At 50.1% G+C, this 20,561-nt stretch overlaps 1 protein-coding gene and 1 long non-coding RNA gene across 4 annotated transcripts in view, besides 7 other annotated features; one reads left to right on the top strand and one right to left on the bottom strand.

Moving 5' to 3' along the window:
- Positions 7,132-8,331: an enhancer, noted in NCBI's record as "MED14-independent group 3 enhancer chr4:10130393-10131592 (GRCh37/hg19 assembly coordinates)". NCBI's record gives its function as "activates an origin of replication core promoter dependent on BRD2, BRD4, P300/CBP and CDK7 cofactors, and independent of MED14, by STARR-seq in HCT116 cells {active_cell/tissue: HCT116}" and the evidence as "EXISTENCE:reporter gene assay evidence [ECO:0000049][PMID:35650434]".
- Positions 13,345-13,845: an enhancer, noted in NCBI's record as "H3K4me1 hESC enhancer chr4:10124879-10125379 (GRCh37/hg19 assembly coordinates)". NCBI's record gives its function as "activates a minimal SCP1, AML or CMV promoter by ChIP-STARR-seq in primed H9 embryonic stem cells {active_cell/tissue: H9 hESC(primed)}" and the evidence as "EXISTENCE:reporter gene assay evidence [ECO:0000049][PMID:30033119]".
- Positions 13,846-14,346: an enhancer, noted in NCBI's record as "H3K4me1 hESC enhancer chr4:10124378-10124878 (GRCh37/hg19 assembly coordinates)". NCBI's record gives its function as "activates a minimal SCP1, AML or CMV promoter by ChIP-STARR-seq in naive and primed H9 embryonic stem cells {active_cell/tissue: H9 hESC(naive and primed)}" and the evidence as "EXISTENCE:reporter gene assay evidence [ECO:0000049][PMID:30033119]".
- LOC124900666 (uncharacterized) lies at positions 17,623-20,011 on the bottom strand. The gene is made up of 2 exons (XR_007058030.1): positions 17,882-20,011; positions 17,623-17,773 (listed from the first exon to the last, which is right to left on the bottom strand). It is a non-coding gene; the product is annotated as an uncharacterized LOC124900666 (long non-coding RNA).
- Positions 18,800-18,889: an enhancer, noted in NCBI's record as "active region_21311". NCBI's record gives its function as "activates an Ori minimal core promoter by ATAC-STARR-seq in GM12878 lymphoblastoid cells {active_cell/tissue: GM12878}" and the evidence as "EXISTENCE:reporter gene assay evidence [ECO:0000049][PMID:35858748]".
- Positions 18,970-19,069: an enhancer, noted in NCBI's record as "active region_21310". NCBI's record gives its function as "activates an Ori minimal core promoter by ATAC-STARR-seq in GM12878 lymphoblastoid cells {active_cell/tissue: GM12878}" and the evidence as "EXISTENCE:reporter gene assay evidence [ECO:0000049][PMID:35858748]".
- Positions 19,990-20,109: a silencer, noted in NCBI's record as "silent region_15279". NCBI's record gives its function as "represses an Ori minimal core promoter by ATAC-STARR-seq in GM12878 lymphoblastoid cells {active_cell/tissue: GM12878}" and the evidence as "EXISTENCE:reporter gene assay evidence [ECO:0000049][PMID:35858748]".
- Positions 20,120-20,529: a silencer, noted in NCBI's record as "silent region_15278". NCBI's record gives its function as "represses an Ori minimal core promoter by ATAC-STARR-seq in GM12878 lymphoblastoid cells {active_cell/tissue: GM12878}" and the evidence as "EXISTENCE:reporter gene assay evidence [ECO:0000049][PMID:35858748]".
- Positions 20,301-20,561, top strand: part of WDR1 (WD repeat domain 1) — a 42,461-nt gene continuing 42,200 nt past the window's right edge. For all 3 annotated transcript variants that reach the window (NM_005112.5, NM_017491.5, XM_017008880.3), the window contains exon 1: positions 20,301-20,449. In NM_005112.5, coding sequence (NP_005103.2) covers positions 20,434-20,449 — 16 coding nt within the window. In that variant the 5' untranslated portion in view covers positions 20,301-20,433. The remainder of the gene's footprint in view (positions 20,450-20,561) is intronic.

The raw sequence follows: 20,561 nt of genomic DNA, 5'->3' as shown, positions 1-20,561 counted from the left end.
AGGTTGCATAGGAACTCTTGGCCATGGATACCTCAGGTCAGGCTCCACTGAGATTTGCAAGGGAAGAAAGGGTTGAAGAAAACCTCACTTCCTTTCAGTCACTGCAGTAGTATCTCGAGTGAGGACAGCAAACAAGGCCAAGGTTAATCCTATCTGATGACAGGGTATTCAACAGACTACAGTAACCCCATTGGTACAAAGACCACACTGACAGGTGTGCCGCCTTCCTCTATTCTCTTTGGCAACATCCCGGGACAACCTTCAAAATAAGAGCCCCATCTAGTAGCTCAGGGACATCTGTGGACAGCTTCAGGCCTCCAGTGGCCACACAGTAAGGAAAGCCCATGAATAACCACCACCTTCACCCATATACCAATTCTGTTGCCATAGAGAATTAAGTATCTCCATGGATGTAGCTTGAACACCCCAGTCTGATGTAAGAGGTCAGGCGAAAGGCATGGAGTTAAAGCCAAGCCCAGTGAAGACTAGTGGCTGGAGCTGGCATGAATGAAGTATCTTCAGGAATCTACATGCGATTATGAAGTCAGTGCAAAGCCACTATGATGAAACCATTTAAGTAGTATAGATACCCTATGGAAGAGATGAAATTCCTGTCTTAAGATCAGTTCAGCCGGAAGACAGACAGCTGGTGAGTTTATAGCCACCTCAGGATCAAGGTCATTAAGTCTGGAGCTTGGGTATCGAAGTTGTGAGTCATTTGCCCCCTCTTCTGAGGGCCAAATCTGTGACCCACCCCTCCCCCCTCCCCTCCCCTCCTCACTCCCATCACCTTTTCCTGGTGGTCTTGAGATGGACTGCATACTGAGAAGAGGATCAGCAGGGGTCTGGAATCCAGGAACATCCCAGACAGACAGGTGGTCACCCAGGAGCTGATAACCTCATCCCACTCAAGGTAGATGAGTCAGCTCTTGAAGGCCCTCCATTGAGGACTCTGTCCACCATGAAAAATGACCAGAGGAACACAGCCCCTCCCATGAGTCCCTGGTCATTTGAATCGTCACCCTGGTATACTTGGAATCCTGGGATCTAGTATGTTATTCGGCTGTACTTCATAAGAGACTGAACCCTAAACCCTCAACACCTCCAGAAATAGTCTTGGGATGTTTTTAGATCCTAAACAGAGACAAAAACAAGTCTTCAGCAATACACTCTCCCAGCCTTGAGCTCCCAGTCAAGCAGCAACTACATTTAACAAGGTACAACTCTGACATTCACCAGGTGAGAAAAACCAGAAAGCTGGAATCAAGGTCACTCACATGGCAATCCTTGCATAATAGGGGATAGGGTGCAAGTTCCAGGAAAGACCTGCTTTGACGGGATTCCCGCTGCATCCTGTGTTTAAGCCCCTCTCCCCTCAACACCGAGGACCACCTTGAGAATGCTTCTCCTAGTCTGCAGCACAGCCTAGAAAGTTGGCTGGAGATAAAGGCAACTCTCCCTGGAAGCCTGAAAATTTTGATCCAAGTTAAGGACCACAAGAACAGACCAGGAAGCAGCACTGGAAGTAACTAATGTAATATAGCAGACTTCAAGGCTGCTGGGATTGTTGGAAACTTGACAGGCACCAAGTCTCCTCAGTTCTGACTATGCTCAGGGCATAATGGAGATTGTCATGTTTCCCGTGATGACAGGCTTGGGCTCCTGCCAAGGTTCCTCTCCCGAGCTAGGCAAGTGGCCTCCTGATGTTTCTACCTAGCCTGTCTGCCTTAGGAAAAATCTCACCTGAATCTGCCTAGAAGGGGGTCTTTCTCAGCATCATGAGCTGGCTTCATATCCTTCATGGGAAGGGGCCATCCAAGCCCTAGACCACGAGCTGTCAGTTTTAGGGACCTAGGCATCTGCATGCCCAGAGCAAGATTTCTAGATTAGGACATCCCCTGGGCTCAGCAGACACCATAGTCATGCTGCAGCTGCCCCACACCCACCCCCCTCAGGCTCCAAGGCATCTCACTTTAAATGCACACAGGCACAAGTGGGAAAAATTCTCCATCAATTGGGATTCTCCATCAATTGGGATTCTCCATCAATTGGGATTCTCCATCAATTGGGATTCTCCATCAATTGGGATTCTCCATCAATTGGGATTCTCCATCAATTGGGATTCTCCATCAATTGGGATTCTCCATCAATTGGGATTCTCCATCAATTGGGATTCTCCATCAATTGGGATTCTCCATCAATTGGGATTCTCCATCAATTGGGATTCTCCATCAATTGGGATTCTCCATCAATTGGGATTCTCCATCAATTGGGATTCTCCATCAATTGGGATTCTCCATCAATTGGGATTCTCCATCAATTGGGATTCTCCATCAATTGGGATTCTCCATCAATTGGGATTCTCCATCAATTGGGATTCTCCATCAATTGGGATTCTCCATCAATTGGGATTCTCCATCAATTGGGATTCTCCATCAATTGGGATTCTCCATCAATTGGGATTCTCCATCAATTGGGATTCTCCATCAATTGGGATTCTCCATCAATTGGGATTCTCCATCAATTGGGATTCTCCATCAATTGGGATTCTCCATCAATTGGGATTCTCCATCAATTGGGATTCTCCATCAATTGGGATTCTCCATCAATTGGGATGCTACCCCCAAGACTTGCCATGATGCCCCCAGCACTCCCAACCCCAGACAGCTGGCCAGCACCACCCAAAGATACCCTTCTTGGTTATCAAACCACCACGTCATCGGTCATGGACTGTCACTCCAAGACATCAGGCAGTACACCAAAAGATAACAGAGCTTATCACTTATCCCTTTCCCAGGCAGGTTCAGGAAGCCCTCAAGGTCTACAAGCCCACGCCCACGCTACATTCACCCATCAGGATTCCACAGGAAGTGAACAAGAACCCCCGCTTAGCTTCAGAACTCCAGCCTATGTGTTTCACAAATGGGGGCAGCAAGGCTACCAACCAGGCCTGAGCACCCCACAGGACAGTCATCCCCTCCCACAATGGGCTGAGTGCCGGACTCGTCCTGGTGTGATATTCCCAGTTATGTACTGCCAGTGAGATCAGGGTCACATAGGACATCTTAGTCTTGTCCATGTTCCGCCAGGTTACCAGGAATGTCTTGGTTCTACATAACATGTTCACTAGCATATCATTCCATGGGGAAATATATCCCATTACACCCCAGAACTGAGCAGACCTAGCACCCGTTTTTCAAGTTTAGTAACTCCGAAAAGTGAAGTCCCTTTCAGGAACACAGGTCCTGCCCCTTGGTGGTATCCCCCACCACTGCATCCCTTTGCTAGCAGCTGCCCTGCCTAGAGAGCCCCCGTGTCCACCTGCCTCAGGCCCTCATTGCCACAGTCACAGTAGGCCAGAAGTCCAGGTTTTCCAGCAATTATGTTCCTCAATTCCAGAACACGTTCCCATGTGAGGCCTGGTAAGGGCACAGCTTGGCATCAGCTCAGTCTCAGTCACCAACTCACATGAGGGTAGGCGGGCTCAGCACAGAGCCTACCCGAACACTAAGACTCCAGAGGGCATGGATGGGGGTGGGTGGAGGCATTTCCTAAGTGAAATGGGAAGGCAGCAGCTTGCCCCTCTTGCCCAGGTGCCCCAGCTCTCCCAGGGCAAGACTCCAGTTGAGCTCGTCCCATCGCGGTCCAAATTCTAACCTTGTTAGAGGTGTCGGTGGTCCTGGCCACTTCTGTGCTGAACTGACTGCTCCCCACTGGCTCTGCCTGGCTGTGGTGTCCTCAGGGCCCTAAGTACTGTCTGGGGCTCTCCTTCCACCCAAGGTCTTCAAGGAGGATGACAGTTCAGAGGCTGAACATTTCACTCAAGCCTTTCAAGCTGGTGGGATCCAGATGCCTGCAGCTGGACTCATTTGTGTTTCTGGATCTCTTGTCTTCCCACCACTTCTTTGGACTTGCAAACATCGGGTCACATTTGGAACAAGGATACTGGCAGACAAACCATGTATCCTGAGTAAGAAGGAAAGCTGGGGCAGGTCCCTGCTCTTCCAAGGCCACCTTGTGTCCATCCCCACACCTCTCCTAGACCATCTCCTTCCAGCAGCCTTAACTGACATTTGAGATAGTCTTGCAAAGCACTGGCAAAGAATTGGAGCTTAAAGCACAGCAATGGAGCTCTGCCTTACTCTTACCAGCACAACCACTGTCCCCTTACTCACAGACCTGACCACTAAGTCCCAAGGCTGCCCACATCCAACTCCCAGAGTCCCAGCTTTGTTCCTGCCTTCTGTACAACCTGCTGCAGAGCGAGTGCGGCACCCTGAATGTGAGGATTCTTAGCCCATCTAAGGGGCCATGAAGGATGAAGATTGCCTCCCAGTGGGGCATAGCTTTCAGAAGCAATCGATCTAATGCGATCTTCACTGCCATCGTGCAGGAAGAACTAAATCTAATCCAACTTACAGCAAACAAGAGGTGAACACGTTAAACCCCAGCACGATCTACTGAGTCCAAACTGAAAGAGGGCATCCCACGTGGCTTGCCTTCCATGTTGCCCTCCAGTGAGGGTGCTGGTGAGGGCTCACTCACGTTTACCACGTGTTGCATGGGGAGAGTTTTTTGGGTGGGAGACTCAGGTTTTCCCTCAGAACAGGAGAGCAGACAGCTTTTCCATAAGGATCTTCACACTGGATAACCATCTCTGAAGGGATGGGACCATTCCAGATGGTCCTGCAGTCCTGGCCTTTGGAGTTTGTCCCCCAAGGCAGCTCCATCCCACATTCTCCCATGTTCCTTTTTTCTCCGTCTGCATCCCCTAGGATGTCGCGGGATGAGTGCTTACTACTGAAGGCTGTTCACACTGAGGACATTCAAGGATTTCTCCCAATAGCAGCGACCCTATGTTTATGGGATAAACTACTGGAGTCTGTCACTAAAGGTCCTTCCTGGTCTGACTCACAGGATGGGGGGTGAGGGTCAGACTTGGTCTCATTGAGCCCCCCAAGACCCCATTCTGGAGGCTCAAACGTCTCTGTATGGATTACATGGAGAAAGGCCCAGCAAAGCCCTGTTCTTTTAATTCCACAACCACTGCCCCCCAAAAGCCTACTGATTCCTGTAACCAGCTGATCAGCAGCCCAGCATCCCTGTGTGGTGGAGTCTTAGTGACAGGCAGGGTCTATGTATACTCAGACATAGAAGGGAATCAAATAGTGGCTGCTCAGGATGACAAGTAGGGTCCTGTGACAACCAAGTCAGCTCCCCTCACTGTGCTGTGCTGGACAGGAGAGAACACCCAAAAGTCCCAGATTCACTAGGCCAAGGCTCAAGAGTGAAGTTTACAGATTCAACCTGCTCAGAGTGCACCATCCAGAAATTAGCCAGCCTTATATCGGAGCAGATTCTCTAGGTAAATGCCGTCACTGGGGAGAGTCCACGTCAGTCACTGGGGAGAGTCCACGTCAGTCACTGGGGAGAGTCCACGTCAGTCACTGGAGAGAGTCCACGTCAGTCACTGGGGAGAGTCCACGTCAGTCACTGGGGAGAGTCCACGTCAGTCACTGGGGAGAGTCCACGTCAGTCACTGGGGAGAGTCCACGTCAGTCACTGGGGAGAGTCCACGTCAGTCACTGGGGTCAGTCTCCTGAGCACGCTCCTGGATGTCACCCTGCAGCCACACTGCACTCCTGGCACCCTGAGAGAGGTCAACCCCTGCAGTCATACTGCATTCCCGCGCCCACCTGTGCCCTGCCCTCTTCCAGGTCACCCTGCAGCCACGCTGGGCTCCTGTGCCCACTCGTGCCCTCTTATCAAGTCTAAAACTGCCCCTCCCAAACACAACTGCAGCCTAAGGGCAGCATGGCTCCTCAGGTCTCTACACTGCTCAGTGTGGCTCCTTCTCTGCACCAGGCTCCGGGTGGGTCCTGGCTTCCCTGCCTCCTCCCACTAAAGCCTCTTTAGAACCCAGAGAAGCAGCTCTTGGCTGAAATTCTGAGGTCTGCTGAGACAGAAGATTTGGACCAGTCTAAGTTTGCTTTAACACCTAAGGAACCCCTTTGAGTCCAGCTGCAGCCTTGGACCCGAGCAGCCTCCAGCAGAGCAATGTTTAGTACTCCAGCTGTTGGGGAGAGCCCATCATGGCTTTAACAGGTGACACCTTCAGCCAACTCAGCCACAAGAGTTTTGCAGCCCACATCTGCTAAAACAGACTTAGACACTACCCTAGCCAGCCCAGGAGGCTTCCTTCTCCCAACATATTGGCCTCCTGCTGCGATAGATCATAAAAACTGCCTGTGGTGGCCAAGTAGGACGCCTCTGCCAGCTGGAAATTTCAGCCAGGTTCTCCCCATCAAGACCTCAAGGGGAGGGAGATGAGGCACCAGCCCTCCAACACAAGCACAGGAAGCTCCACTCAGGTGAGTGCACGTGAGGAAGTACACTGCAGGGCACCATTTCAGGGCAGCCACGCAGACCCAACGCCACGACAGAAACTAGGACAGGTACGAACTGTGGCTTCACTACCCAGGCTAGCCTTTACTTCCTAGTGATGAGAACCATGAGGATTAAGAGGGCAAAGTCCAAGGTCAACATGGCTCCCCCCGCTCCAGAAGGGTGGGTGAACAGTCCACCCCCATGGAAGAGGTGAGTAGTTATCCGTTCACCCTAACATCCCTGAATGATTTCCCCATAACTGAAACAGAGCAGCTTTTCCTAGGGCCGAGTACACACCATCCAGACTCTGGCACCAGATTTCCAAAACACATCCAGAAACAGCTTGTCCTGTCGGTCAATCAGAAAGCAGCTTAATCTAGTCTCAAAAGCCAGCACAGTTGTGCCGAGAAATGTCAGCATCTAAAATGCCATAAACAGCTAGGCTGTCTAAAATGAACTGTGATTATCAAGTTTGGCAGAGATTTGATCTTCACACGAAGTAGAGAGCTATGATTCAATAAACGAACTGAGAAGATCTAAGTAAAATAAGACTTCCTGAAGTTAAGGGTTCAAGTTCTTAAATACTCTTGGACTTGTGGTTTTAAATGCAGCAATTCAGTCATCTTTTCCACGTAGGATCTACGGTTTTACAGAAGTGAAGCACTCAGCCAGTGTCAAGTCTTATAATACCCGGACTGGTCTGACACTGGCCAGTTTCCTCATCTCTACACTGGAATCACAGTGGCTGCCCAGCACGGAGTCACTCAACCGAAGTACTTAGAATTAGCCCGAGAAGCACTAGAAGTTATGCCTACAATTCTCCAGAGAAGTCCCTGTTATCTGCCAACTTGAGCTTGGCAGTCACCATAGCAGAACAGAGGCCATCCCCTCTTGGACTCAGGACTTAGTTTTCCTGCAGATGCAATTCACTAGCAGTGACCCCTGATCCCTGCTGCTCCATCTGCATAGACCACATAGCACAGCTGCCAGCTGGATGTCCTAGGAGAACAAGCATTCCCCAAGCTCTCTGCCCATCTGTGGGACTGAATGACATATGAGCCAAACCTTTAAGCAATAGTCTCTGGTGAACTTTCCCTGCCAAGAGGTCTCAAAGGCTTCCCAAGGACACGGTCAGGAAGAGCTGTAATACCTTGTCTAGTCTTGAAGGCCCCAATTGCATCCCCCCACCAAACCCTGTGGGGTATGCTTTGACGGCCAGCCCTCTCTAGTAAGTCCCCTCCGATAGCCCCCGGCACTGTGACTCACTGGGTGTGATGGTACTGAGTGTCAACTTGATTGAAGGATACAAAATATTGATCCTGGGTGTGTCTGAGGATGTTGCCCAAAGAACATGAGTCAGTGGGCTGGGGAAGGAACATCCACCCTTCACATCCGGTGGGCACACTCATCAGCTGCCAGCTAATATAAAAAGCAGGCAGAAAAACGTGAAAAGGAGACTGGCCTAGCCTCCCAGACTATATCATTGTGCTGTGCTGGATGCTTCCTGCCCTCGAACACTGGACTCCAAGTTCTTCAGTTTTCTCCAGGGTTTCAGAGCTATCTGACTGGCTCTCCTTGCTCCTCGGCTTGCAGACACCCTATTAAGTACTAACTTACATGACCACAAGGTCTTACAAAAAACTATAGTGTATCTTTCTCCCTCTGGAGAACCCCAATTACTGGGCTTGCACACTTGTACCTGCAGAGCAGTAATCTGTTCCACCTGTGGTCTGCATACTTCCCCTACCAGGGAAGGGTTTTTTCCATCCCTTCACTCAATGTAAGATGGAGCTCCAAAATGCCACTTCTGCTAAGTCCTTCCAAGTCATAAGGGGTAGGGGAAGCACACACTTGCATCTGAGCTTACCCCCATTCTCAAGTTGGTTCAAGATTACCACCTTTTCATCTCCCCACAAGTAGTCAGTGCCTTAACTCAGGGATATGAGGTCGATCTTGCACTAGGCCATGATTCTCTACACAGAATAGTTGTGACCATGGACTTGGGCACATGGTATTCCTCGGTCTTAAGTCCACCTTGGCCTTTCAGCCGAGACATCTTGGGTATTTGGGTACTGTAATACCTACGACGTAGTAAGAATTTAATAGACACGTTTTGTCCCACGACTGGAGAACACATTCCCTTTGCAAAGCATCTTGATCTGTCTCCGAGTCTCAAAAGCCAGTCCTGCCAAATTGTCCGTTTTTGTAAGTGAGGTAGACTCAGGTGTCGAGCAAAGCTACAGCGATTGATACCTTGGTGTCTTTTTACTCATAGGTCCAAGACTCACCCACATTTATGCCCTGTGTGCATCTGGGTAAAGAGCTTTTCCATCTGCAAGACTAGATTAAAAGCTTGTTCCAGATCAGCTCCAAAGGACAGAATGACAAGGCCAAGTCTACTTAAATTTTGTGGGGAAAAAGATCAGATTGTTACTTTGTGTAGAAAGTAGACATAGGAGACTCCATTTTGTTCTGTACTAAGACATTTTTCTGCCTTGAGATGCTGTTAATCTATAACCTTACCCCCAACCCCGTGCTCTGAGACATGTGCTGTGTCAACTCAGGGTTAAATGGATTAAGGACGGTGCAAGATGTGCTTTGTTAAACAGATGCTTGAAGGCAGCATGCTTGTTAAGAGTCATCACCACTCCCTAATCTCAAGTACCCAGGTACACAAACACTGCGGAAGGACGCAGGGACCTCTGCCTAGGAAAGCCAGGTATTGTCCAAGGTTTCTCCCCCTGTGAGAGTCTGAAATATGGCCTCGAGGGAAGGGAAAGACCTGACTGTCCCCCAGCCCGACACCTATAAAGGGTCTGTGCTGAGGAGGATTAGTATAAGAGGAAGGCATGCCTCTTTGCAGTTGAGACAAGAGGAAGGCATCTGTCTCCTGCCCGTCCCTGGGCAATGGAATGTCTCGGTATAAAACCCGATTGTATGTTCCATCTACTGATAGGGGAAAACCGCCTTAGGGCTGGAGGTCGGACATGCGGGCAACAATACTGCTCTGTAAGGCATTGAGATGTTTATGTGTATGCATATCCAAAGCACAGCACTTAATTCTTTACCTTGTCTATGATGCAGACTTTTGTTCATGTGTTTATATGCTGACCTTCTCTCCACTATTATCCTATGACCCTGCCACAACCCCCTGAGAAACACCCAAAAATGATCAATAAATACTAAGGGAACTCAGGCTGGCAGGATCCTCCATATGCTGAACGCTGGTTCCCTGGGTCCCCTTATTTCTCTATACTTTCTCTTTTTCCCCCCAAGTCTCTCGTTCCACCTAACGAGAAACACCCACGGATGTGGAGGGGCAACCCCGCCCCTTCAAATCTCAAAGACTGCGTGCATAAGTGACTTCAAGCAGCAGTTGATTATCAAGAGTCGCTACCCTCAAGTGTTCTATTTGGTATCCTGTCAAACCATTTTTGATCATGTTAGTGATTTTGTTATAGAATGGAAATTTGTATCTTTATGGCCAAGATACCCGCCACCTTAAGCCTAGACCTAATTTACCAACACTAGAATTTGTGTACTATCCTAGCCCTGTTAGTTCAGCCAATTTCCCTTTAACACAAAACACGTAACTTAGAACTCATCCTCAAGCCAGAGGAAATCTGTTTGCTACCTAGTCAGATACAGCACTGTGGGAACTAACTTCGGGACTAATGCCTCAACATTAAGATGAGGACCTCACAGGAGTTTTTATTCCTGTGCAATTAAAGATAGCTATAAGTTAGTTGTGCATCCTAAATCCAGGATGTTTGTGCTGAGTGGGAAAAAGCAGGAGACACGGGACATGGTTCCAAGGAGACAATCAGGGCCCACCTTGTGACAACTCAAGTAGAAGTGGTCTAGCTGCTGAGTCGTTAGCATGACAGATCCCAGTGTAGTACACCTGATAATGCCATCACCTTGATATCCGCAAGCTAACAGCATGATGACCATAAACCCACATTCTCAATACTTGTGATTCTAACAGAGGAACTTGAAATACAATGTATCTGTTGAGGAACGACTTGACCGCAAAGCTTTCTCAAAACAATGATCCAACTTGCATGTAAGTTGAGAGCATCACTGTTTAACATGCAAAGGGTTTGGGAAAGTTACAACTTAAGTATTACCTGAAGCCACCAGCTACACACCCAGGTGTTTCACCGTACAGTGGGGTAGGGCTTCTGGGAGTACGAGATTGCTGATATAGAAGGATCAATTCTAATAGTGCATGCAAAGGAGGCAGTCAGATCCCTTGCTGCTTGCCTTCACTTTTAAGTGACTGGCATCACCCACCACCCACTGTATTGTCCAAACCATAGCTTCATCATCCCTGGGCTCCTTTCCTCTGACATCCAGGACAATGCTGCGTGTGTCCCCTGCCTGCACATGTCAGGCTTGCTACCCTCCAATCCTCCGTAGGCCACCACTCACAATGGCCCAACTCCAGTGTCCCAGGCTGGTCCATTTAACCCCACCCTCCACAGGGAGTAGTGACCCCAACAAGTCAATCTGATCCACATCACGCTTGACACATCCTGATGGCATCTGATCATGAGGTCATTGGGGAACCTCCATGAAGCAGCCCCAGCCACTCGCCCTGGCTCTAATTTCCCAGCCCTACTTCCATTCCACACGGGTATTCAGGGAGACTCCATTCCTTTGCCAAGCATATCACATACTACTCTATGCTCTTCACATCCTTCACATATCAACTTTAGAGTCCTACAAGAGCCTCCCTGACCTTCACACAGAAGAGATAACATGTTCCTATTTTCCATAGTACCTCCAGCCACCTAACATGTACATGACATTCGAGCACTTCTAATATGACCAGGCCTTAAGAGCCTGCGTTTTATCCTTATAACGCACCAACAATTTGTATTACAGAGGGGAAATAAGTGACTAGGCACCAAGCTCCAGAATACTGCATTCGTGTCTGACCCTTTGGTGTTCGGTAGACATGTGAGGTGCATACATGACTCTAGATGTTCACAATCCCACAGGTTGTGATAGTCCACATGATCAAGGTATCTTGCTACGTTGGCTTCACAATTCCTCCACGGTCAAGGTTGATACCCAAAAACACTTTGCTTGGAGGCTCCTTTTGAAGCTGGGTATTGATGTGGAGTGGGAGAACATTTGGGAGGGCTGAAGTAAGCTTTGTGAACCAAATAGACACCCAGTGGCTGACACCAGCTCTTATGACTGAGCACTTGCAGTTTCCAGGTTTCAAATATTACAAGGAACACAACGTTGATTTCACCACCCAGCATTTTAAGACCATTCCTACAAATCATATGGGGAACAAATTAGAGACCACTTTCCCGTACTACCTAAGATGAGATTGAAAATCATTTAACATCCAGTATGCCAGGCAAGCACTAGGTATGTGGCTGACCTGCCGACACTATACTGCCTCGGTCATCTTTAATCTGCAGCAGGGCCAAGTCTCTCAGGGTCCCCCGTGTCCCACGTGTGTAGAAGCCTCCACTGTGGCCACAACTGCAGCATCTTTCCCAATAGGACATAACTACCAATTTAACAGCTGTGCCTAAATGTACCTCGAAAAGCAGACAAAAATTAAAATCCTTTTACGGAGTCCATGCCAGTTGCCAGATATTCCAGAATGTGTCGAGCTACTCGGTCTATCAGCTTCATCGGAGTCTGAGCTCATTCATCTAAAACTTCCCCCTTTGATGTTTTCCCTTATTGAGGAGCCTCCTTCTACATGAACCTGAGTTGCCTGTGTATGGTAGGGACTTCCTGTCCAATCCCAGCAATGCCATCGGGAATGACTGGAACCCTCCCAGACCGGAACAAAGTGGACCGAGGTCCTTGTCTAGACCTAGGGCCCAAGCCAGGGACATTGAGACAGCACCCACTCCTGGTTGCTTTGTGGCCACCACCATCCTCCGGGTCATGCCTAGAAGCAGGAGTACTTTTATGGCCACAGCAGCCGAGCTAAGAAACTGGTCCCACGGTCCCCAAAGGCGGGGGAGATGCCAACTCCTCAAATGCTCCAGTGGTTGTTTTCTAAGGCAGCCATGTGTTTTAGGCCGCTTCATTAGAGCATTTTAGGATGAAAGCCAAAACCAGGGTCAGAGATAGGGAAGCACTTTTCAGTCACTTCCTCAGTGATTCCTTTGCCAGGCAGATATAGTGCAGGCACCTAGCCTCTTGATCCAGGTTGTGCCTTAAGTCCAGTTTCCCCAAGGGCTGGTGCCCCAGAATGGGTGGCAACACTTTACAGTGTGACCACTGCCACTGTCAACAAGGTGGGTCACCGCAACTCAACCGCCTCTGCCTTGTCCCCAAGGCGCTGAGAGGCTGGTGGTTGGGGCTTTACGGGTGGGAGGATGACAGGGCAAGCCCTACCTTCAATATAGATGAAACTCAGCCCCTACAGTGAAGTATTTTCTCAGTGTGTGACCTTGTTTAGAGACAGGGTGGCCTGCTGCTGCAATTAAGATGAAGTAAAACTCAAAGTGGGCCCTACTCCCATAGGACCAGTGTCCTTTAAACAGGGAAGCGGAAACAGGCACAGGGAGAAGACATTAAGGATGAAAACAGGGATGGGGTGGTGGTCCCACAGGCCAAGGAGCAGAGATGCCAGCAGACCATCAGAAGCTAGAGGCCTGAAACAGTCTTCACAGCCTGGCAAGGAGCCAACCACACCCCACCTCTTGATCTCAGATTTCCTGGCTTCCAGAAAAGAATTTCCGTTGAAACCACCAAGTTCATAGCAGTTTGTTATGCCAGCCCTAGCAGAGCAGTACAGCTTCCCAGCCACATGCAGATCTCAACTACCAGATCCCCACTGCTGGGATGGGCAATGTCTACCCAGAAACACCACCCACTTGGAGGGAGCAGATCAGAGCACCTGTTTACCACAGGCAGGCAGAGCCTGAGTCAAAGGAGCAAAGGGCTGAATGACACATGTCCAAGTTCCCTAGGCCCATCCGCAGTGCGATTCCCCCCCTCCCCCACAGGGAGGCATGCGAACGGAGAGGCAGGGCATCCAGCTGGTCACTGTCTCCATGGCAACAAATACAAGAGCCCTCCTCCACTAACAATCTATGTCCATCCTGTTTGGCAGAAAAGCTGACCCTTTGGTCCACGTGTTGAGGGAAGCCGACTATAAAGGCAGCTAATAGCAGAAGTGTTTGGAAATGGCCGGAGGCCACCGCCAAGGAACCAGGGGCAGCATTGGGAGGTGCTGGCAGGAGCTGTGATGGATTTGTGGCTGTGTCAGGGCTCAAAGATCCTCAGCACTCCTGGAAAAGAGGGCTGGGATCCAGTTCTGTTTAACAGTCTTGAACACTCAAACACAGGGTGTTGAGATCTAGAGTTTCTATGCTCATGGAGCAGAGGAAGGACCCAAGCCCTCAGGCCAATGGGCAAGAAGGCCACACCACAGGGTCTGTACAAGGAGACTCGCTGCAGCGAACAGCCTCATGACCGGAATCTCCATATCAGCAACAGGCACTGGCACAGCCCTCAGACCAGACCCCCACAGCACCACAGGATGCCCAGTGACCACGTAGCCAAGCCCCTGCACTGTGGGCACAAAACAAGCCAGACACCGGTGCTCAACAGCCAAACACGTTAGCTCTGACCACACAACTGGAGGCCAGCAAAGACCCAGGCACTGTGGACTGAGTCAGAAGGAAAAGGCAGAAACCCTAGGACGGTAAGTAGTTACCCAAAGACAAAGCTTTCAACTGGAGAGCGACTGACGCTATCCTTGAACTTGGGTGAGAGCATGCTAAGATTCTACCTTCACTGGAAAAGTTGGTTATTTAGGGGCACAATTAAAACTTCCATATCTGATCTATCCATTTCAGCCCTTTCACGTGTAAAGGACAGTTTAGACTCTGTAGACCCAACCTGTTTAACTCCTGGTTGCATCACTTGCTTTTCAACTCGGCAAAGTTCCAACCCAAGTTCCCTTCCCTGATGTAAGATGAAGGGCAAGGGCCCACAAACCCAGCATCTAGCTCACACGAAGTGCTTGCAAGTATGAGGGTAAGTAAACGTTCCAGGAAGGGTCCCGGGAAAGGACAGGCCGGGGCTGTCACCAGGCCTCACAGCAACACACCAAGTCTCAGGCAGCAGGTAGACAGAAGCGACTGTGTTCTATCACTTATGGGAGTTTAAGAAGAATGGGACAGGGGAATTGTTTAACTGTCCCCAGAGTTCTTTTGCAGCTACAGGAGCTTCGAAGCAGTGCAAGACACGGCCTTAGGTCCTCCAGTGTGGAGGCTCAACTCCACCCAGTTACCACCCCCTTCACCGGGATCTTGATGATCAGATAGCTTTCGTTGCCTGAAGCTATGGTTAAGAAACAAGGGTAGACAACCCAAGTAGGATATATTCCTTGTACTGTGTTACTAAAGTTATGCCGTTGATTAGCTGTTTAGAAGTACATCCTTCAGTAACCTCAAACTGAAAAGTTATGCCCAAGCTTCCATGACTTGCAGGGATTTAAAGCTGCTGCAGCATGCAGGTGTTAGTTATTTGCTTATTTGCAAAACCCACTTTCCAATGGGCTGCTCAACTGGAAAGAAAGGTATTTACAACACATAGGGCCCCCCAAGAAGGGATTCAGTAAACGAGTTCACTGGAGGGTTGCAGATAACTCATTTCTTGCCTTGGCAGAATTAACCGGGCTAACCCCTTTTGCATAAGGTTTATGCTAGCAGGTTAAAGGCTTTGTTACCAGTCCTCTGACAAAGGCATCCAAGCACTTCTGGCAAGGTAGCCCGGTTTCCAGTTCACTTTGGAGGGACAGCCCAGGCCCCACAACCCGGATTTTTCCAGGTCAAAAGGTGGATACCAGTAGCTGCTTTTGCCATGCATTTCACCACCCTCCCTAGTCACAGCTAGTAACGGACTATGGACTCGATCCAACCAGTGAGATTTGAGAATTAAAGATCTGAAAGCCTGACAGCGAAGCTAAAAGCGTTACACATTAACTCAGGCTGTGGGCAGCCACTTCCCACCATGTGTCAGACCCTCTAGAGGACTCACTGGCAATCACTCCAACTCCCTGTGCAGATGGGGAGGTGGAGGCAGCGAGACTGGCTTGAGGTAGTAGATAAAGGTGATTTACTCCAGGGACACTCCGGAGATGAAACTTTGAATATGACTTGAGCTTATTTATGAGACAGGGACAGGCCTGCAAAAGGGACTGAAATTCCTGGAGCAGAAAGGCTTCCCCCACTATACCCAACAGTCCTTTGTGGAAAGGGCGGGGGTTCAGTCCACAGGGTGAGCTAGACGGGAGCAGCGCTACCCTTGCATAGGGCTCTTCCTAGGGGGTTGATACAGTTGAAGCAACAGGAAAGAGAAAGCCCCCTTTTCCTGAGCCTGGACAGAACCCATGAGGGTTGAAAGTGAGGAAGCAGCTTGACAGGCTTTGGAGAGAAATTCAGCTCTCCTGTGGCTTTGTTCCTCCCCAAAGCTTCCAGTATAGGCCTCACACATCTGACGTATTTGCAGTTTGTGGCTCTAGAAGCCAGGACTCAGAGCGTGCTCAGAGGACAAGGTGCATTCCAGGAATCCACACGCCCCCACTGTTTGCGTTACATAAAGCGTTCAGAACCCACTCCAAACTTGTTTTCCCCTGAGTGGAAAGCTGTTAAACAGCTCATTTAGCACCTGACGCCAGTTAGCGGTTTGCCCAAGTTACCCAATTGGAGCTAGTTTACCCCAAAGGTAGTCGAAGAGTTAAGTATCCTAAGCTGCTGCTGCTTAGAAGTTTCAAGAACACATTGTTGCCACTTTAGAATTAAGTTCAGGTGATACTTATGTTGCTCGCTCACACAGCAAAAGGAAGAATTGCCACTGTCTGAAAAGCACGCAGGTGTTCATAGATCTGGCACACCTGCGTTCTGTTTCCAATTGTCTGGGTGGGCCCCTGCAACAAGTGCTCGAGCAACAAGGTCCCTGCTCTCAATCCCTAAAAAGGGGAGAGTCGAGACGCTGATGAACCCCATAGTCATAAGCAAACCAGTGTGCAACAAAATGGGAGTATAGCTTGAGGGTGGATTGGCCTTAAACTGAGGCATCAGTGAAGACCCAGAGACAGGTGCCAGAACAGAATGACCCAGGAGACTTGCTCCTTGAGCCAGGCAGAGCCTCAGCATGCCAGTGTCTCAGAAGCCCAGGGAGGATGTTCGGTCTCAAGATAGAAACCTAGGCTACCCAAGGCTCAACAAGCTTTTAAAGTTTCTCTGGCTGCAGTAAGGGGCTCCAAGCAGATACAGATTAACTGGTCAGGAAGAAATTAGAATAACCCAGGTTAAAGAGCACCAAAGCAGGGCTGTGGCTACAGAAAGATTTGATACAGAGGTTCTAAGCAACTAGATTTAGTGAAGGCTTTAACCTAAGTGGGGGGTGAGATTTCTGGTCAGTGCAGCTGGAGATGCAAGGACGCTGGTCACTATCGGAAGCAGCACCCCAGAGAAATCAGCAGGGAAGGGGAAGGCAAATTAGTCTTATTCTGGCTGTCGTTCAGTGCGAGTAAGGGGCCTTTCAGACCCTTCCTACGGAGCTCCAAGTAGACAGGTTCCAGAAAGGGCCAGAGAAGTAGCTGGGTCCTCAGAGATGTGAACCACTGGTGTATGCAGACCTCAGGATCCCCATCCTATTAGAGAGTTATGACAGCTGAAAGCAACTCAAGTATATCCTGGCAGTGACCCTTACACGCTTGACACCTGATAGCGGCTTAGCCACACCTTGGGAGTGTAGGTGTACCTGATCTGTATCAACTGCTTTTTGAAGCGCAGTTCTGTCCCAGCTGGCTGCTCTGGACCACTCTGTATTCAAGTCCCCTCCATACACCATATGTGTTCATTGGCTCTGGGTCGCCTCGGCTTCTCGAACATGGTGCCATCCCTATTTAATTCAGTGGGGGCCCAACACAACAGGATACACGAAGGCATGAGTGGTGACTAGGGGAGCCCAACGAATAGGCTAGACCCACAGTAAAGACGGTTCAAGTGTTAAAGCTCCCACAGCTGACAACACCAAACTGAGCTCGCGCCCCACAGGGAAAATCCTGGAACACCCTGGTGTTTCCCATTTTCCTTTCACATCCTTCAGATTTCCTGCCACGTTCATATAGACTCAAGTGACTACGAACAAACAGCTCCCCCACCACCACCATAAAGCCTCTGCAGCTCCAACATGTAACTTTCAAGCTAAAAATAAGCTGTAGAGCCCAGCAGCTGGGAGTTTGGATATGTTTTACTCAAGTTCGACTGTTTAGTTTTCAGTGTCAACTCCAGCAAGGCTTTATGCACGAGTGTAAAGGTTACCAGCTTGCAAGAGCTTGAAGTTGGTCCTTCGTTTTCTTAATCTTGTTACACGAATGCACTACCTGTGAATGCAATTATACCATTTGTTTTAAGGGTCTCAAGGTGATTTGATGAGTTCTAAGTTATCAAAGCAGATGCAGCGGCCTACAAGCCGGGCCTGCGTATCTTACTTTAGGAATCTGTTTTGTACATTCTCCACGGCTCCTCAGTTCGCAGAGCTACTTTCATATCCGTTATTTCCTGATTAACAGTTGTGGGTGGGGAGTGGGGTCATCCCTAGGAGCATCTTCCAGGTGTCAGGGTTATTCCTGAGAGTTAAAGTTAGGGAACGCGGGAATGAGAAGCAGTGTTTGCAAGGGGTTGAAGTTGCAATTTAAAATGAGACCGGTGACACTCATCAACTAACATTTGAGCAATTAAGTACTTCTGAAGGACACAGGAGTCAGCCAAGTAGATCTCAGGTAAGAGTTTCAGGAAAACACCCTCCGAAGCCAGTACCCAAGGCAAAGATGATACAGATGAGGGGAGGCGGACAACGGAGTCTAAGTGACCCGGAGACTGTCATCCAGGACCCTAATGGGCCGTTTTCAAGACTAGCTTTTACTTCATGAAACTTGGAGCCCCTACAGACAAGCTGAGGAATATTTTACTTCGGATGGATCACTCAGCTACCTGGAGAACACACAAGGTTAGGAAGAATAGGAGACAGGCAACATGGCCACTAACCCAGGTGAGCCACGAGAGACTGCTCTACAGAAGTAGGTAGCAAGAGACTAACCTTGATACAACCTTAAGCAGAACAGACCTTTCAGAGAAGCAGGAACCGCTCACAGCGTGGGTTTCAGAGTTTTTAGCTACCCGCAAGTACTTTGGTTTCTCCCACTTTTACCACCCTCCTAGCCCCCAGAGCCCCAATGGAAAACTTGTACCCACGCTACTGAAAGACGAGACTAGAAGCTTGGACACTTCACATTCCCTGCTCTCCCTTCCACAATTGAGCCACTGCCCTGGTTTTAGAAGTGGGGCTTGTTTTGCTCTGAAGTAACCCTTAACGTCCTTAGAAGTAGCAGCTCCCCTACCCCTCTCCCCACGCCTTTGCCTTTTAAAAACCTTAACTTTTGAGAGAGAGAAACAGCACAAGTTCAGGCCCAGCAGAGTAACCCCTACGTTGTTGCCAGCAACTACTTCAAGGGCAGTTAACCGTGCTTAAAGACGCCAAAAGCATCCATCTCCCGCTTACAACAACATTTAGCTACCCCCCACCCACGTACTTTGCTTTCTCCCACTTTTACAACCCTCCCACCCCCAGAGCCCCGAGGGAAAGCTTGTACCCATTCTACTGAAAGATGAGACTAGAAACTTGTACACTTCACAGCGCCTGCTCTCCAGCTGAGCCACTACCCGGGTTTTACAAGTGGGGCTTGTTTTGCTTTCTTAGGAAATAACCTTTAACTTCCTTAAAAGCAGCAGCGCCCCCACCCCCACTTTTGCCTTTCAAAAGCTAAACTTTTGAGAAAAAGCACGAGTTCAGGCCTAACAAAGAGTAACCCTTACGTTCTTGTTGCCAGTAACTACTTCAAGAAAAAGCACTTAACCGTGCTTAGAGAAAGACGCCAACAGCATTCCTCTTCCACTTACAACAACATTCAGCTACCCGCCCGCACCCCGCCAAATACTTTGCTTTCTCCCACTTTTACAACCCTCCCAGCCCCCAGAGCCCCAAGGGGAAAGCTTGTACCCATCCTACTGAAAGATGAGACTAGAAACTTGGACACTTTACAGCCCCTGCTCTCCCGCCACAACTGAGCCACTACCCTGGTTTTAGGAGTGAGACTTGTTTTGTTTAGGAAATAACCTTTAACTTCCTTAAGACCGACAGCTCCCCCATCCCCCACGCCTTTTTTGCCTTTCAAAAGCTCAACTTTTGAGAGAAAAAGCACGAGTTCAGGCCCAACAAAGAGTAACCCCTACGTTCTTGTTGCCAGCAACTACTTCAAGCAAGGGCACTTAACCGTACTTTAAGAAGACGTAAAAAGCATCCCTCTCCTGCTTACAAAACCCGAGCAGGAGGACTGGCGGCTGGGCAACGCCCGGGACCGGTCAAAAAGGAGAGGCCGGGGAGCGCCCGCCACGCAACGCGGTCACAGGTACAGAGAGGTTTTTCCAGACCCCCACCAAAGCCCGCCAGTACTTTCAGCGTCTTTAAGACCCCCCCGCAAATAAACTTCCTACAGCCCAGCTTCTCCTACAAGCTAGCAACAGAAAGGCACCCACCCCCCGACTCCCAGAAGCATTCTGACGCGGCTGCTTGTCTGCGCCGCCTTTTCAAGGGCCCGCGGGGCGTGCTATACGTCACTTCCGGGGCGGGGCGAGCAAGGCGGAGGCGGGGCCGGGGCCGGCGGGGGAGGGGAGCGCCAGGTCCGCGCAGGCTCGCCGGGACCGCAGCCGCCGAGCCGAGCGCTTGACTATATATGGTCAAAGCTGGGGGCGAGCCGCGCGCGGGACCGCGCTTCCGGGTTCGGGGCGTCCGCAACCACAGCGCGCAGGGCAGGCGCGAGCTGGCCTCTGAGCCCCGGCCTCGGACCGCCCACTCCACTCCCGGCACGCCCGGTGCCGCCTTCCGGCTCCAGTCCCCGGGCTCGGCCTCGGCGAGGTGTAATTCGCAGCGCGGGCCGGCCCCGGAGGCTCTCGGCGAGCGCGGCGCGGTAACAAGTGGGCGAGGATGCCGTACGAGATCAGTAAGTGCCGCGGCGCGGGGCCCCCGAGCGGCCGCCGCGCTGCCCCGGCCCCGGTCCCCGGCCCCTAGGCGCCGTGCGGGTGGCGGGGGAGTCCTCGGCGCGGGGGAGGGGT

The sequence above is a fragment of the Homo sapiens genome, chromosome 4, assembly GCF_000001405.40.
Source record: "Homo sapiens chromosome 4, GRCh38.p14 Primary Assembly".
NCBI lineage: Eukaryota > Metazoa > Chordata > Mammalia > Primates > Hominidae > Homo > Homo sapiens.
This window is presented reverse-complemented; position numbering and strand designations above follow the sequence as displayed.